This window comes from Homo sapiens, chromosome 11, assembly GCF_000001405.40.
Source record: "Homo sapiens chromosome 11, GRCh38.p14 Primary Assembly".
NCBI classification, from domain to species: domain Eukaryota; kingdom Metazoa; phylum Chordata; class Mammalia; order Primates; family Hominidae; genus Homo; species Homo sapiens.
In genome coordinates this window covers 77,027,498-77,044,653 of record NC_000011.10, presented here as the reverse complement: position 1 = coordinate 77,044,653, position 17,156 = coordinate 77,027,498, and the positions used below count along the sequence as shown (strand labels likewise).

Genomic DNA, 17,156 nt, shown 5'->3' with positions numbered 1-17,156 from the left:
ACTGCTGTCCTAACAGATACAGTCCACATCACTGGGACAGATGGCACTCATCCACTCATCCATTCACCCCAAAAGCATGTAGGAGTATTTGTTATGGCCTGCTCAGAAAATAGATCAGCAAGTGACAAGTGGCTGTGGCTACTGAAGGCCCACGGCAAGGGCTGCAGAAAGGTCACAGAAGTGCCACCTCCTCCTGCTTCCTTCAACCTCTCAGAGCTGCCAGTAAGCCTGCAGAATGACAGTACCCTCCTATGTGGTTTACAGAGGATTTACATGGCCCTGGCATGGAACATCACTGTGGAAAGTGTATTAGTCCATTTTCACACTCCTATAAAGAATACTACCTGAGACTGTGTAATTATAAAAGAAAGAGGTTTAATTGACTCACAGTTCTGCAGATTTAACAGGAAGCATGGCTAGGAGGCCTCAGGAAACTTACAATCATGGCGGAAGGCGAAGGGAAAGCAGACACCTTCTTCATGGGCAGCAGGAGGGCGTGTGTGCGAGAATGAGGAAGTGCCGCGCTTTAAAACCATCACCTCTCGCGAGAACTCACTATCACGACAAGAACGTGAGGGAATCCGACCCCGTGATCCAATCACCTCCCGCCTGTCCAGTCCTACGTGTCCCTCCCCTGACATGTGGGAATTACAATTCAAGATGAGATTTGGGTGGGGAAACAGAGCCAAATCTTATCAGAAAGAGCGGCTCAGAGAGGTGAGATGACCTACTCAAGTTCCAGGAGTGGGAGTGATGGGACTTGCCACGGATTCCCTCTGTGTAAATCTGTGACAGCCCTGATGTAAATCAGACATGGCCTCTCCCTCTGGGAGCAGCCAGTCTACTTGGTGAAAAACAAGGGATGAAAGGGGACACAGCAGGTGACTTAAGTGCTATGGTTGGAATGTTTATGTTTCCCCGGAATTCTTTTTTTTTTTTTTTTTTTTGAGACAGAGTCTTGCTCTGTCGCCCAGGCTGGAGTGCAGTGGCGTGATCTTGGCTCACTGGAAGCTCCGCCTCCCAGGTTCACGCCATTCTCCTGCCTCAGCCTCCCGAGTAGCTGGGACTACAGGTGCCTGCCACCATGCCCGGTTAATTTTTTTGTATTTTTAGTAGAGACGGGGTTTCACTGTGTTAGCCAGGATGGTCTCTATCTCCTGACCTCGTGATCTGCCCGCCTCAGCCTCCCAAAGTGCTGGGATTACAGGCGTGAGTCACCACACCCGGCCCCCCGGAATTCTTACGTTGAAATCCTAGCCCTGAAGGTGACGTGGTGATGATGTGATGATGGCAGAACCCTCACCAATGGAATCTGGGCCGCTGTAAAAGAGGCCGTGGGAGCTTGCTTGCCCCTCCCACCATGCAGTGACACAGCAAGAAGGCAGTGAGGAATGGGCCCTCGCCAGACACCAAACCTGCTGGGACCTTGACCTTAGACTTCCCAGCCTCCAGAACTTTCAGAAATGTTTGTAAGACACCCAGTTTATGGTATTTTTGTTACAGCAGCCTGAACAGACTAAAACACTAGCAGGGCAAGGCTGCTGTAACAGTAGACAAACCCCAGAAGCTGAAAAATCATAAAAGTTTTTGTCTATATTGTTCTGTCCATAATTTTTTTTAAAAGCATAAAAGTTTATTTTGTCTTCCTCAGTAGTCTGAACTGAGTATTCCAGGTTGGTCCCCGGGCTGCTCTGCTCCGTGCAGGAACTCAGGAATCCTCGTTTCTCTGCCTTCCTCTAGGCCAGCGGTTCTCTGCTAGGGTGAATTTTCCCACCAGGGTATGTTTGGCAACGTCTGGAGATACTTTGGGTGTCATGACTTGGGCTGTGATACTGGTATCTAGTGAGTGGAGGACATGGATGCTGCTGAATGTTTTACAATGCACGGGACTGCCCCCCACAACAAAGAACCGTCCTGCCCCAAATGTCAGTAGTTGAGAAACTTCCACTTGGGCCTGAAGCATTGTCCTCACTTGCAAAGTCAGAGCTGGGTCCCAGGCCCATCCATGTTCCAGCGAATGGGAAGGAGGAAGAGAGCATAAGCAGGCCCAGGTGCCACAGTGATCCTCATCCACTCCCGTCCATCCATGAGGGCCTAGTCACAGGGCCACATCTAACTTCAGGGGACGGAGTGCTGGGAAATGGAGTCTAGGTGAGTGCCCAGGAGGAAGGGAACAGCCGACTCAGGTGGGCAGCTGGCAGCTTCCCCGACAGGCGTCCTAACTGGTGCAAGAGACATGCAGGATGGAGGTGGTTGGAGGACATTTCGGTAACTAGGTCAGAGCTTGTGCAAAATGCAGAGACAAGAGAGAGCCTGACAAAGCGCAGGCACTGCCACCTGGATGGAGGCTGACAGTGGGAGGGAGGGATCAGTGAGCAGCAGGCGGGTGGCAGGAGCCTGAAATGCAGGACTGAGGAGTCTAGTCTTCGTCCTGAAGGCAGGGAAGGACCTTTGGCCAGTCTCCTGACGTTCTGCCCCGGCTCTTTCCTCCCTGAAGGTGAGTCCCTCGTGTCCATCTTACATAGTTGGGACCTTGCTGACACACACTTCTGCCTGCCTTTAGGCCGTTTCCTTGATTTTCTATGTTGCCAAGATGACTGGCAGCTGCTGGAGGTCAGGACCACAGCCTGGTTCTCAGAGCCCCAGGCACCAAGTTCCCACCCACCCTTGCAAACTCTCCTTTTTTTTTTTTTTTTTGAGATGCAGTCTTGCTCTGTCGCCCAGGCTGGAGTGCAGTGGCACGATCTCGGCTCACTGCAACCTCCGCCTCCCAGGTTCAAGTGATTCTCCTGCCTCAGCCTCCCAAATAGCTGAGATTACAGGCACGAGCCACTATGGCCGGCTAATTTTTGTACTCCCAATAGAGACGGGGTTTCACCATATTGGCCAGGCTGGTCTCGAACTCTTGACCTCATGATCCGACCTCCTCAGCCTCCCAAAGTGCTGGGATTACAGGCGTGAGCCACCTCGCCCGGCCCCACAATCTTAACCACTGTCCACTTCGGTCTCAGATCCCCCACCTCCCGAACACAATTCTACACACCTGCCTCCACAGGCTCCCCAACACTGGCCTCCATGTTCCCACCAGCCTTTCTCCACTTCGGACTCCCCGGAACTCCCTGCTGGGTTGTCCAAGGCCCACTGAGCCTGAGGCCCAGACCCCGGCAAGGAGCCTGTCTCTGACCCGTGGGGGTGATTATTGGCGGGCAGGACCCAACTAGGCCATTAGCTTTGGTTGGGGTGAGTGTGGAGGGGACCACAGTGGTGTGCTGTCTGGGAATGCCACGGCCCTGGATTAGTCACTGTCTGACCGGGCCTCTGGTTTCCACTTTGCACGGTGAAGATTTCTACCTCACGGTGTACTGGGGTAGTGGTGGGAAGAAGGCCACCACATGCGCCTCAGCTGCGTGTTGGCTGACTTCTTGGGGGAGGGGGAAGCGGGATCCACCTGATACTGTCAGCCCAGCTCCAGCTCCACTCACTTGTAAACAGTGGAAATCACAACTGACATTTGTAGGCACATGGCAGGGGGCGCTGATCCTGGCTCCCACGCTCCCAGGTCTCCCTTGCTCCACTGCTCAAGAGGACCCGAGTGTGGGAGCGAGGGGCCCGGAATTCTTGCAGAGAGGGCGGTGGAGCTGGCTTTGCGAGGATGAAGAGATAGTCTAGCCGAGTGGTCCTCAGGCCTAGCTGCACATTCGCATCACTGGAGGAACTTAAAAAATACTTAACATGTCTGGGTCCACCCCAGACTAATCAAATCGAAACTTCGGGAGATGGAGCCAGGATGTAGGCATTTTCCACACCCCCCACCCCAGCTGATTTCAGTGCGCAGCTGGGGTTCAGGTGCACAGAGCTGGGCAGGACGTAAGGTACCCAGAGCGGGAAAGCTGCCTTCTCAGCATGGACATGGTTGGAGGCCCGGGGCTGAAGCCGCCCAACTGGCCTCAGGAGACCCGGTGTCCCCGGTCACAGCTGAGCGCGGGGCTGTGCAGCGCCTTCCACATGAGCAGCATCTCGTAGGGCGCGAAGCGGTGCACTAGCAGCAACTCGCGGTACATGCAGGGGTCGAAGGAGGACTGCTGTGCGCCAGGCAGCTGCACGCCGAAGGGTCGGATGCCCTCGTGGCCGCTGGGCGCCAGGCCGGCGCGCTCCAGACACATGCCCATGTAGGCGTCGTCGATGGGGAAGAGCGGGGTGTGGCGGGCGGCCGCGCGCAGGGCCCGGGCCGTGGGGCCGGACAGGAGGAAGCCGCCGCCGCTGCAGTACACCGGGTAAGCGGACCCGGGGAAGAGCTGCGGCGGCACGAAGTACTTGCTCCAGCTGTCGCGGATGGGCACGGAGCCCTCCATGAGCTGGCCGGAGAACAGGTGGCGGCCGGGTGGCTGCGCCTGCAGGAAGCGGACTACGTTGGCGGTGTGCACGAACACGTCGTCGTCGCCGCTGAGCAGAAAGCGCGCGTGCGGGCAGCGTGCAGCCAGCCAGTCGAGCAAGTGCAGGTGCTTGAGCGTGAGGTTGAGGAAGGTGTCCGCGAAGGCCCACTGCAGCACGTCGCCGTGCTCGCGCGCCTCCAGCGCCACCAGCTCCGCCAGCCGCTCCGCGCGCGCCTCGTCCTCGGGGCCCGGGGTGCCCAATAGAAAGAGGCGGCGCACTGGCCGCCCGCCGTAGCTGCGCTCTTGCCCCCACGTGCGCCGGATGAGCTCGCGTCGCTCGTAGTGCTCAGGCGCCGACTTCACCGCCAGGAGCAGGAACACGCCTCGGCCGCCGGCGCACTTGGCCGGTGCGTCCCAAAGCAGCGGGAAGTGGCGGCAGTGGCGGTACCGCAGGAAGTCCTGGATGCGCGCGGGCAGCTGCTCGAAGTCGGCCGTGGCGTTCGCCGAGGCGTTCGCCACGCACGGGGGCCCGGGGACGAGCTCCGAGGGCGGCTCGTCAGCCGCGGGAGCGTCGGTGGGACCCTCTGGCGTCTCCTCCTGCGGGGACCTCTCCTCCCGCGGGGACCTTGGCGCCTGGAGGAACCACTGCTGCAGTGCTAAGAAACTCACGCCCACCAGGAGGCAGGCCAGAGTCTTGGCAGTCAGGGACCTGCGGCAGGGAAAAGCCATCTGTGGGGGAAACCGAGTCAGAGGTGAGCCGGAAGTCGTCTTTGACACCGGCAGGACACCACCCGTACCCCGTCACTTCTCTCCCAGAACCCAGCTCCAGCCCCTTCTCAACTCTGCTGTTAAGTGGTAAAAAGGAATCAAAATCCAAGATTACACTGACGGTCTCTGGTCTCCCACACTCCGGACCGTTCCTCTGACCTTCAGATTTGAGTCTCTCTTTGCCTCCTGACAACACCGCCCCACAACCCGTCACATAGGCCCAGTGGACTCATCGTCTGAGTCTCCATCTTCCCCTGAACCCATACCCTGCTGTTCCCACCTCCGTTCACCTGACTACTCCAGCCAGAAGCCCCAGCCTTCTTCCTTGTCCTTCTCAGCTGCTACCTGCTCTCCGCATCCTGTTGATTCTGCGCCCTACATCCCTCTCATTTATTCCCTCCTCTCCGCCTCTGTCCAGCTCGGATCATCTCTAATCACTTCCCCTCGTTGCCTCCCGAGTCGAGGAAGCATGAGGTGATAGCACTGAACTCAGACCCAGAGCCGAATTCTGCCATCCCCACTTCCCCATCTGCACCGTCTGAACAGTCAGTTCCGATGGCTGGGTCTGAGTGTTCTCATCTGTGACGAAGGGTTAGTGAATTCCTACTGCAGGGCTGTTGTGAGCATGAAATGAGTATGAAGTGGCCAGTGACTGGGTGACACGGGTGATATGACCTTATGGGTGAGATGATCTCCACGGCATCCTCTAGCTCTGCCTCCTCATTCTACCTGCTGGTATTATTTGCTGTTCCCAAACATTCACCTTCAGGCCCTCTCCTGCATGTAGCCTGCCCAGGTGCACCTCAGGCCTGGCTTTTATGAAGACCCCCAGGACGAATCCCAGGTCAGAACAACCTTTCCCGTATTTAACTGTGCCCTGCTAAAAATTCAGTCACATCAGGTTCTGCATCTCAGACCGTTGGCTATTTATTTATTTGAGACAGGGTCTTGCTGTGTCACCCAGGCTGGAGTGCAGTGACACCATCATGACTCACTGCAGTCTTGACCACCTAGGCTCAAGCAGTCCTCCCACTTCAGCTTTTGGAGTAGTTGAGGCGCTCTACAGGAGCGTGCCACCACACCTGGGTCATTAAATTTTTTTTTTTTTTTTTTTCTGTAGAGACGGGTTCCCACTATATTGCCCAGTCTGGTCTTGAACTCCTGGGTTCAAGTGATCCTCCCACCTCAGCCCCGAAAAGTGCTGGGATTACAGGCATGAGCCACTGTGCCCCGTTCCTTCTCCCTCCTTAAAACAGACTCTACGCTCTCCTGCCTTTCCTCCTTTCTTTTTGACCATGTTTCTCAGTTCCCTTTGCTCAGTTCCCCCTCTCTAATAACCTCCTCCTCCTCTTCCCCCTCCCCCTCCCCTCCTCCTCCCCCTCCTCCCTCCTCTATCCTCCCTTCTCTCCCTCCCCCTCCTCCTCCCCCTCATCCCCTCCCCCTCATCCCCTCCCACTCATTCCCCTCCCATCCTATCCCTCTCCTCCCCCTCCTCCCATATCCCCCTCCTCCCCCTCCTCCTCCCTCTTCCCCCTCCCCTTCCCCCCTCCTCTTCTTCTTCTTCTTCTTCTTTCTTCCTTTCTCCTTCTTCTTTTTTTTTGAGACAGGGTCAGACTCTGTCACCTAGGCTGGAATGCAGTGGTGTGATCGTGGCTCACTGCAGTCCGCACTTCCCAGGCTCAGGTGATCCTCCCACCTCAGCCTCCCAAATAGCTGGGACCACAGGCATGTGCCACAGTGCTTGGCTAATTTTTTCTATTTTTTGTAGAGACAGTGTCTTGCCATATTGTCCAGGCTTGAGCTCAAACTCTTGGGCTCAAGTGATCCTCCCGCCTTGGCTTCCCAAAGTGCTGGGATTACAGGTGTGAGCCACCGCACCTGACCTCTCTAATAATAACCTTTAATAGTGGAAGGCCTCTAGGGCTCTGACTTAGACACTCATTTCACCTTTGTCCAAGATGGTCTCCTTCACTGTTAGGACCTCCGAGCTCCAGAGCCACATGTCCATCCAGCCGCCTGACTTAACAGCTCCATATGGCTGTCCACAGCCACCTTGGATGCTACTTGAACTCTCATCTTCCTCCCCCAAGCTGTCCCGGAGTGCTGCCATCCCCTGGGTTGTTCAAGCCCAAAACCTTGCTTGACTCCCTCCTTCCCCTCGTTTCCCCACCCAAGCCCCGTTGATTCTCTCTTCTGCATTTTTCATCAACCTACCTGCTTTCATTCCCTCTATCAACAGGTTGATCCAAACTAACATTCCCGCCTCACATGAAGTAGCGTCCTGCTTGGTGTCTCTACACACCATCTTGCTCTCGGCCGACCTCTCCCCTCCCGCAGCTGGAAAAACCTTTGAATTACGTAGATTTATGCCGCTTCTCATGCTCTTTTCCTTAGCTTCCCTGTGATCCACCTGGCCTTGCCCTCAGCCCAGTGACAGCCTCAGACTGCCAGACCTCTTGCTACCTCAGAGCTTTTCCTTGTGCTGTCCCCCTGCCTGGATTGATGTCTCTCTCCCTGCTCTGTCTACTTAAGAACTCAGTCTCTGGGTCCACTTGACAAGGCATATTCTTGGGGAAGCTTGAATGAAGCCCAAAGGAGACCAGGTACCCTGTTAGACATTCTCAGCATGTGATTTGTTTAAAGATTATCTTCCCTCCTAGGCTGTAAGCATTTTAAGGATAGGGATCACACCAGTCTTCACCGTTGTATTACCAGCACCCTGCATAGGGTGGGAGGTTAGGACAGCCGAGTAGTAGGAAATGCTGGCTGCCTGGATTCAAATTCCACTGCCACTGCTTTCTAGTGTTGTGATTTTGAGCACGTTGACTTAAGCTCTCAAATACCTGCCTCTGAAGAGTTACTGTGAAGACCAAATGATAATGTGTGTAAAGAATTTACTATGGTCCTTGGCACATAGTATTCAGTAAATATTAGCTGTTAGGATTATCAAGGTGCCGATAAATATTTGCTGAAAGACTGCTTTTCGAAGAGTGTGTGCTCAATAAATACTTCCAGGTATTTTGCACATAGGTGTTATTGCACCGAACCCTATTGCTTGTGTATTACAGTCCATACACAATGTCTAGCACAAAGCAGGCATTCAGTGAAAGAATGGGAGCAGTGAACTACAAATGCAAGTGTGAGAACCCTGCAAAAGTGTGGATGTAATCACTGAGTGCTGATAAGAAATACTAGAGTATTATATAGTATATTGCTCTTCACTTATTCCTGCTTCTGTGTTAGAGGCACTGTGAGAAGAGGGCTTGCGAGATAAGCTATGTCTCTTTTACCGTCAACTGTCTACTCAGTGCGCAGTCCTGTGCCTGGCACATTTGGGGAATGCAATATTTTTTTTTCAATGAATGAAAGAATAAAAAAATGAATGAAAACAGAATTTGGAGTCTGAATAACTGAGTTTGAGCCCCAGCTTCTTTCCTGAGTTAATCTCCTAGGTTTCAATATCCTCATTTGAAAAATTGAGAAAGTTAACATTCATTTTTCAATGAAATAAGGAGAGAATCCTGTTTATGTTAACGTGCTACACAAATACTAGTTAAAAAAGTTAAGCATCCCCCATCATTTCTGGAAAGAAAAATAATCTTCTTAATGTAACAATAAATCTTGTTTCAAAGAAGTTTGCGTTTACTCTGATAAAACGGATAGAAGATCTTGGATCACAGCCAACTTCTGATGTAAAGGAAAAGGTGTTGGGCAAGGCCCTGTTCCCAAGGGCGGTGCTGGCTCGCTCACCTCTGTTCTTGGATGCCACACTGTGCAGCCTGAGGGCTTTGACTTGCTGTGAAGTATTGGGCATTTCTCTCTATGGTTCTTTTTCATCAGGCATCCTGGAGCCCATGCACCTTAAACTTTGCCAGCCTCTGCTGGCCCTGATCCCTTGTCTCTCAGGACACAGCTCAAATACCACCTCCTCCAGCTCACCTCACGGTAAGTCCAGGTCAACATAACCTGTCTCCTTGTTGATGTCATGGCTGTTGAGTAGCAAGTTTGGTAAAGAGGACAAATCTGCCACTTACTCCATCCCTTTGAACCTCAGGTTCCTTGTTTGTGAGACTTTGGGCAACTCCTTTATCTCAGTGTCTCAGAATTATATGAGTTAATTCATGTAAGGCATTCAGAGCCATGCCTGGCATGTAGTAGGCACCAGAATAACATTAGCAGTTGGCTAACACAGGAGACCATCTTTTTATGGATGAAGTCTAGCCTTCTCACACAGTATGGTATAAAGTTCCTCTTTATAAGCTTTATAAAGTTCCTCTGTGATCCTCTAACTGCAGGCATTTCTCACTCTGTTTATTGCCCCACACATATTAACACATCCATTTATTGCTTGCCTTTGCAATGCTATTCACTCTGCCTAGAATTCCCCTTTCTTTTTCTTTTTCTCGACTCAGTGCAACCTCAGGCTCCCGGGTTCAAGTGATTCTCCTGCCTCAGCCTCTCTAGTAGCTGGGATTACAGGCGTCCACCCCCATGCCCAGGTAATTTTTATATTTTTAGTAGAGATGAGGTTTTACCATGTTTGCGAGGCTGGTCTCGAACTCCTGACCTCAGGTGAGCCACCCGCCATGGCCTCCCAAAGTGCTGGGATTACAGGCATGAGCCATCTCGCCTGGCCAGGAATTGTCCCTCTTCTTTTCCCAGGAACTACTTTGGTCATTCCCTCCTCTGGTTTGATGCTGAGATAGCTAGCTGGAACACAGATTCCTGGGCCACCCACCCATTCCATACTATCCCAGGGTATTCCTGGAGGAATATTCGTATAGCAGAATATTCATATAGCAGAAAAGGCAAAGAAACCTTTTATTAGCTATTAGGGCCTTGGCCCCAACCCCCAGCATGAATCCCTGAGCCCTGGGGTCTGCACTGGACCTGTGCAATAGGGGCAATTCTGTCCTCATTCCTCTCCCCTTGGCCTCCCCCTGTTTCTTGCTTGGCACTCTGATTAGAGGGGAATGCGAAGAAGGAAAAATGTACCTCCTTCCCAATAGGAAGAAGCCCAGGCCCCCAGCTTACCTGCAGTCTCTGAGAGAGAAGAAATAGACAGGAGCCATCCCCAGCCTGAGACTAGCCTTTAATCCCTTTACTTCACACACTGAGGTTCCACGCAGGCCTGTGGTTCAGTTCTCTTGAATCTGACCAATCCATGACATCACCCCTCCTCCTTAGGGGTAAGGTGAAGAGGGGGAGGGCAGCTACAGGCTTCCTTAGCCACCAGTGACTGCCTGCTTCCTCTTTAAGCTCAAATGTCCTTAGAGTGTGGGTCCAGTGAATATCCTTGGAGGAGATTCTCTACTAAAAATATAAAAATTAGCTGAGCATGGTGGTGGGTGCCTGTAATCCCAGCTACTCGGGAGGCTGAGGCAGGAGAATCACTGGAATCCAGGTGCAGTATCGTACCTGTGCTCCTGGAGAAGGTGCATCTTGTCTGTAAAGACAGTGTGTGATGACGGCCCTCATGTGGAGGCCCCCTGCAAGTTGCCTGGAAAAGTGTATTGTGTGCCTTCAGAGGCAGAGGCAAACTGCCTGAAGGGCTGTGGAAATAGGCACAGAAATAACAGGTTGGCCGCATCTGTAAGAGTAAAGTATTTATTGTTGTTGATTGAATAAAATCAGTTTAATTTTAATATTAGGTATGGGGCCCTAATGGATGGGATCACAATGTTAAGTTGTAGTGATCCATCACAGGGTACCATATATACACATTTATATATTTAAAATAGAGATAAAATCTATATTACATTTATATATTAAAATATATAAATATATTCAAAAATATAAATCTATATTAAAATGTATATACATAAATATATATATATATATTTCCAGATTTGAGCATAGGCAAAATTGGGCTGCTAAATGGAGAAGTAGTAGGGGATAATCACCCTTTTTAAAACTAAGGTTTTTTATAATGAGTTTTAATCCTTGAAGGGCCTGCTTCTACTTACATTGGGCCATATTAACTATAAAATGGGGGCTCATGGGGTCCCATTTTATCAAGCCAATGACAAAGAGACACTTTAATTTATTATTATTATTAATATTGAAACAGGGTCTTACTGTGTCTCCCAGGCTGGAGTGCAGGGGCACTATCAGGGCTCACTGCAGCCTCAGTCTCCTGGGCTCAGGTGATCCTCCCATCTTAGCCTCCCGAGTAGCTGGGACTATAGGCACACATCATCACACATGGTTAATTTTTGTATTTTTTGTTGAGATGGGGTTTTGCCATTTTGCCCCGGTTGGTCTTGAACTCCTGGGCTCAAGAGATCTTCCTGCCTTGGTCTCCCTAAGTGCTGGGATTACAGGCATGAGCCACCATGCCCAATCTAATTTATTATTTATTTTGTCAAAGCATCTATGTCCAATAGAAAACATTTTATAGCAGTGGGTATATGAGCATGGGAAATTTAGGCAAGGCTACACTTAAATTGAGGCATACGCATTTAAAAACTGTTATATGTCGTTACCCTCTCAAGATTATAGGGTCAGAGTGTGTAAATTAGTGGGATCCCCAGGTATAATTATATTTTGACCCCCAATATTAAGTTCATGAATTTTTGACAATTAGTACATTTTCACAAATGTTAAGTTAGAACCTATGTTGTAGAGGCGCAAAAACCAATCAGTGCTGTTTTTAATCTTTTTGTTACACAACTTCTTTAGTATATAAATTAGGAATCTTGAATTTCCAATTAAATCAAATTGTGGAAAATATAGCATATATTCAGCTTGCCATATATATATATATGTATGTATGTATGTATATATATATATGTATGTATGTATGTATATATATATATGTATGTATGTATGTGTATATATATATATATATATATATATATATATATATATATGTATGTATGTATATTTATTTATTTATTTATTTGAGACGGAGTCTTGCTCTGTCACCCAGGCTGGAGTGCAGTGGCTTGATCTTGGCTCACTGCAACTTCCGCCTCCTGGGTTCAAGCCATTCTCCTGCCTCAGCCTCCTGAGTAGCTGGGATTACAAGCATGTACCACCACACCCAGCTAATATTTTTGTATTTTTAGCAGAGATGGGGTTTCTCCATGTTGGCCAGGCCAGTCTCAATCTCATGACCTCAGGTGATCCACCCACCTCAGCCTCCCAAAGTGTTGGGATTACAGGTGTGAGCCCCCACACCCAGCCTATTTATTATATTTATTTTAAAATATGTATATAATTTATTTACATACATTATTTTATATGTAGTTTATATTTAAATTATATACATTTATTTATATATAATTTATACATACCTTTTATTTTCCTCTGTATCTAGGGGTTTGTTCATAAATCAATAAGTAATCTAAGGCTAGCATTATGTTTCCTAGATTTGGTGTTTGCTCAGTACCTAAAGTTTAAAGTTCTAGGCTGGTCATGGTGGCTCACACCTATAATCCCAGCACTTTAGGAAGCTCAAGTGGGTGAATTGCTTGAGCCCAGTAGTTTGCAACCAGCCTGGGCAACATAGTAAAACCTCTTCTCTACCAAAAAAAAAAAAAAAAAAAAAAAAAATCAGTCAGGTGTTGTGATGCACACCTGCAGTCCCAGCTATTTGGGAGGCTGAGGTGGGAGGGTTGCTTGATTCTGGAAGATTGAGGCTGCAGTGAGCCACGATAGCACCACTGCACTCCGGCCTGGTCAACAGAGTTAAATAAATAAATAAATAAATAAATAAATAAATAAATAAGGTTTCTCTGCTTTTCTTGGAGTTGTAGCTGCCTAAAGCATTAGTCTCTCTTGTTTGATTTTTGTTGTTGTTGTTTTTGAGGCTTTTAGCCAGCAGAAGCTGTGGGTGTTAATTTCAGCCTCTGGTTGATAAGAGGAAGGAGGAAAGGGACCCACTGTCTCTAGGAAGGAGGCGCTCTCTGGGATGGCCCCGACTGCCAAATAACCAGTCCATTTTTTCTCCTTTTAAGTAAAAATTTTAGAATGGCTAGCATTTCTAGGTATCTAAATAGGAAGATCTCTCTCTCTCTCTCTCTTCTCTCTCTCTTTCTCAATGTTTGCCTGACAAACTCTTGGTGGTATCAAGTAGCCCCCTATTGTTTTGACCTTACAAATTGTTACTGGAAAAACTTTGGGAGTGACCTCCAGCATACTGGATTCACAGGCAGCTGCTTCTCTTTCCAGGGTGCCCTAATTGACATCTGAGGGGTCGGGATGGGGACCAGGAGCGACCACAGCAAGGAATGCAGCAAAGGAGGTGCTGGCGGCAGCAGCCCTGACTCTTGGGAGGCGCTGTGGGACTCCGGTGAAGTGACTCCACCAGCGGCTAGGGCTGGACAGTTAGATCCTTTCCCCTGTCTCCACTCACTGACACAGAGAGCCCAATGTCGGATCACCCCTTTCTGACTGTTACTCGGGAGGAATGCTGCTGTCCTAGAGCGTGATAGCTCATGTCTCTCAGTAGTGAGATGGAGGTAGAGCTACACTGTCCTGGCTGCCTCACTCTGGCTGGACACCAGGACTTCGTCATTTATAGCCGATACAGTCCTGACCACTACTAAGACCCCAGGTCACAGGGACAGCATGCCTGGCTCAAGGGGCAACACACCCCCAAAGAGTGGTCAACTGTTTAGGATCCTCGTAATCTCAGGAAGGGAGGCTGAGGTGGAAGGGAAACACACCTTCCTTGCCATGGAACCTGCTGGAGACAGTAGCTACCTTAACGGTAATAGAGAAACGTGAATAGTTTCATTCCAAACAGCATCCTCATAGCTTGGTGACTTAGTGGACATTCTGTGAGAATGTTCATCTCTCATCTCTCAGGCTCCTCGTCCCTCTTACTAATTTACCTGGGGGAGGTGCCTGGATGAGAAGAATGAAGGGGGAAAGAGGTGGGAGGAAGAGAGAGAGAAGGGGAGGGACCGAGTGCAGGTTTCTGATGGGGATGGTGAGATACAGCTAGAGGATTAGGAAAGCCCTAAGACTCACAGGCAACTTCATGGTGGGAGAAGGACTAAATAAGGAGCTGGGGGTACTAATTAAATCTGAGAACAAATGAGGGCAAGAGAGCAGCCCCAGGGAGGGACATGACCACTTTCCTCCCTGTCTGTGCCCCACTCATGAGAGTCCAGAGCAGGTGGACTGAATGACTAAATGAATTTTGTTAACTTTTCTTCAAGCCCCCTAAAAACTTATCTTTTCTCCTTGGCAGATACATCTTTCGGGAAATTTGGGAAAGATTTGAAGTGGAGAGAAAGTTAAATGGGGGTAAGATTATTGGAATAAAATGAACAGACTTTAAGACAAACAGCTCTGACCTCTCCAGGAGGTTTCTGGAATGGCCAGGGAGGAACTTAGTGAGACATATGTAGTGGGTGTGAGTGCCAAGGGTGGCTTTGGAAAGGTATGTGCTGTTCAGAGACGGAATTAACGCACTTCTGACGCCTTTTCAGCCTTCCCGTTTACAATGGGTGGGTGTTTTAATCAGCAGAAAAAGTCTCAGTCCAGTGCATGTTCTGCCACACCCTAGTCTGAAAAACAGGGGCGGGATAAGGCAGAAAAACCCATCTCCACCTCGAAGGCAAACAGGTTCTGTGAGCACAGGCCAGCACCTGATGACCAGGAAGGGGAGAAGGCCGGATAGTCCCTTGTTCCAGGTTGCACTGGTCAGTGAGAGAGGGAAGAGGGGTTGACTCCTCTCGTCTGTCCAGTTTTGAGGTACCCCTACAAGCCCAGGCCAAGCAATCTTATAGGAAAGATACCATTCAGAAACTGTTATGATTAGATTCATACTACACCGTGGTGCTAACCCCTAAGACAATCCTGCATTTAACAGATATAGAACCCAAAATTTAGTTGTGACTTGGCCACAACAACACAGCTTTTCAGTGGAGGACCAGGATCCTAAGCTAGGTCTTCAGATGCCCCAAAAGGAGATAACTTTTCTAACAGTAAGTACCCTCTCAGGGTTAATGCCAGTGGGCTCCAGCTTGGAGCCTGCTGTTTCAATGCAGTGTCTTGTGAGAGTTATTGCCTTCTACCCCTCAGCCATGTAGCTCTCTCTGCTGACAGCCACTGTGCCTCCAGCCCAGCCATGGACATCCAGACTTTGAGGAACTAGAACCCAGGCCTTCAAATAGGCTTCCTTTCCAAGTGTCTGGTGATTCTCTTTGGTTTGAGATGCTCTGTCTTTAAAAATTCCTCTACCTAATCCTTAAATGGTTTGGTTTCTAGGACTCAGTCTGAGACCCTCTAGGACTCAGTCTGAGACCCTCTTTTCTTCCCTGATCTCATCCATTTCCATTTCAATTAATATGTGTGTCCATGATTCTTTTTTTTTTTTTTTTTTTGAGATGGAGTCTTGCTCTGTTGCCCAAGCTGGAGTACAGTGGCATGATAGCTCACTGCAACCTCCACCTCTGGGGTTCAAGCGATTCTCCTTCCTCAGCCTCCCGAGTAGCTGGGATTATAGGCGCGTGCCACCATGCCTGGCTAATTTTTGTATTTTTTTTTTAGTAGAGACGGGGTTTCGCCATGTTGGTCAGGCTGGTCTCGAACTCCTGACCTCGTGATCCACCCACCTTGGCCTCTCAAAGTGCCGGGATTGCAGGCGTGAGCCACCGTGCCCGGACCCATCATTCTTAAATTTACATCTTCAGCCCAGATCTCTCAGCTGAGCTCCAGATCGACATTTATTATCTTTAAGCTCTCTGCCAGGATGTCTCACACAGTCTACAAACTCTGCAAATCCCAAGTGTACTCTATAATACCCTAAACCTTCTTCCCATGTACCTCTGATATATTGGAGTTCGTATCTCCACTGCCACTATCCACCATTCTTCCTCTATCTAGTATCCCTACATCCATACTGGCTCCCTTTAATCCATCCTCCATCTTTTCCAGAGCTTTCCAAATTCAAATTCTTTTTTTTTCTTTCAAAGGTGATGTTTCTATTGTCCAGGCTGGAGTGCAGTTGATTTAAGCTCACTGCAGCCTGGAACTCCTGGATTCAAGCGATCCTCCCACCTCAGCCTCCTGAGTAGCTGGAACTACAGGTGAGTGCCACCACACCTGGCTACTTAAATTTTTTTTGTAGAGATGGGGTCTCGTTGTGTTGCCCAGGCTGGTCTTGAACTCCTGGCCTCAAGCAGTCCTCCCACCTTGGTCTTCCAAAGTGTTGGGATTACAGGCATGAGCCACCGCACCAGGACAACCAAATTCAAATTTGTAAGATGGCTTTCAAAGCCCTATGTGATGTCATTCCAGTCCATCTCTCCAGAAACTCACCTCTGGCTCCCTGTGCTGTAAAGGGCCTTTCCCCTACTTTCCTTAATACCTCTCGTTCTTCAGTTCTTGGTGTAGATATTCATCTTCAGGGATGTCTTCCCTACTCCAGCTCCCTCGTATTCCCTCCGAGAACTCTCTATACCCTTCCTCATGACACTCATCCCAAATGTAATTGGCAAAATTACTTTTGAGACACTAAGTGCCATGAGGGCAGGTATCTGTCTTATTTTTCATTGTACTCCTAGCACCTAAAACAGACCTTCCAGTTTATTGAATGGATGGCACATAGTAGGGCTCAATAAATGGATCCCCCCATTTTCTGCTTTCTCATTTCCTTTGAGAATCAAGCCTTACTTTGGGACTAGGCCACCCTGTCAAGTGAGACAGGTCGTGTTTTCTCTGTCACCTAAGAAGACCCACTTGAGTTAGACTGCATTCCAGTCCAGGGCGAAAGAAAGAAAAAAAGAGCTGAAAAGGCCACCCCAGAACTGCACTAGAGAGAAGCCCAGAGTAAGTTCATAAAATTTGCTAAATCAAATGACAGATGCCTTTCTTAGGCGGGTGTGTACTGTTCAGGGTGAAATAAAGCCATCCAAACTCCTTTTCAGCCATTCCCTTCACAAAGCACAGCCCAAATGGCTTTGCACACTCATGTCTGTGTTTTGTCAGGTAAAGATTCCTGTTTCGCCTCTTGCTAGCATCCATCTGTTCATCCAGGCAAGGCTGCCCCACCCTGAC

At 49.4% G+C, this 17,156-nt stretch overlaps 1 protein-coding gene and 1 long non-coding RNA gene across 2 annotated transcripts in view; one reads left to right on the top strand and one right to left on the bottom strand.

The window, feature by feature from the left end:
• B3GNT6 (UDP-GlcNAc:betaGal beta-1,3-N-acetylglucosaminyltransferase 6) lies at positions 2,681-10,256 on the bottom strand. The gene is made up of 2 exons (NM_138706.5): positions 10,176-10,256; positions 2,681-5,102 (listed from the first exon to the last, which is right to left on the bottom strand). Exon 2 carries the CDS (start codon positions 5,100-5,102, stop codon positions 3,948-3,950), a length of 1,155 nt encoding a protein of 384 aa, NP_619651.3. The 5' UTR covers positions 10,176-10,256; the 3' UTR covers positions 2,681-3,947.
• Positions 8,970-17,156, top strand: part of ACER3-AS1 (ACER antisense RNA 1) — an 80,139-nt gene continuing 71,952 nt past the window's right edge. Inside the window, exon 1 of the long non-coding RNA XR_007062792.1 lies at positions 8,970-9,086. This is a non-coding gene — a long non-coding RNA (ACER antisense RNA 1). The remainder of the gene's footprint in view (positions 9,087-17,156) is intronic.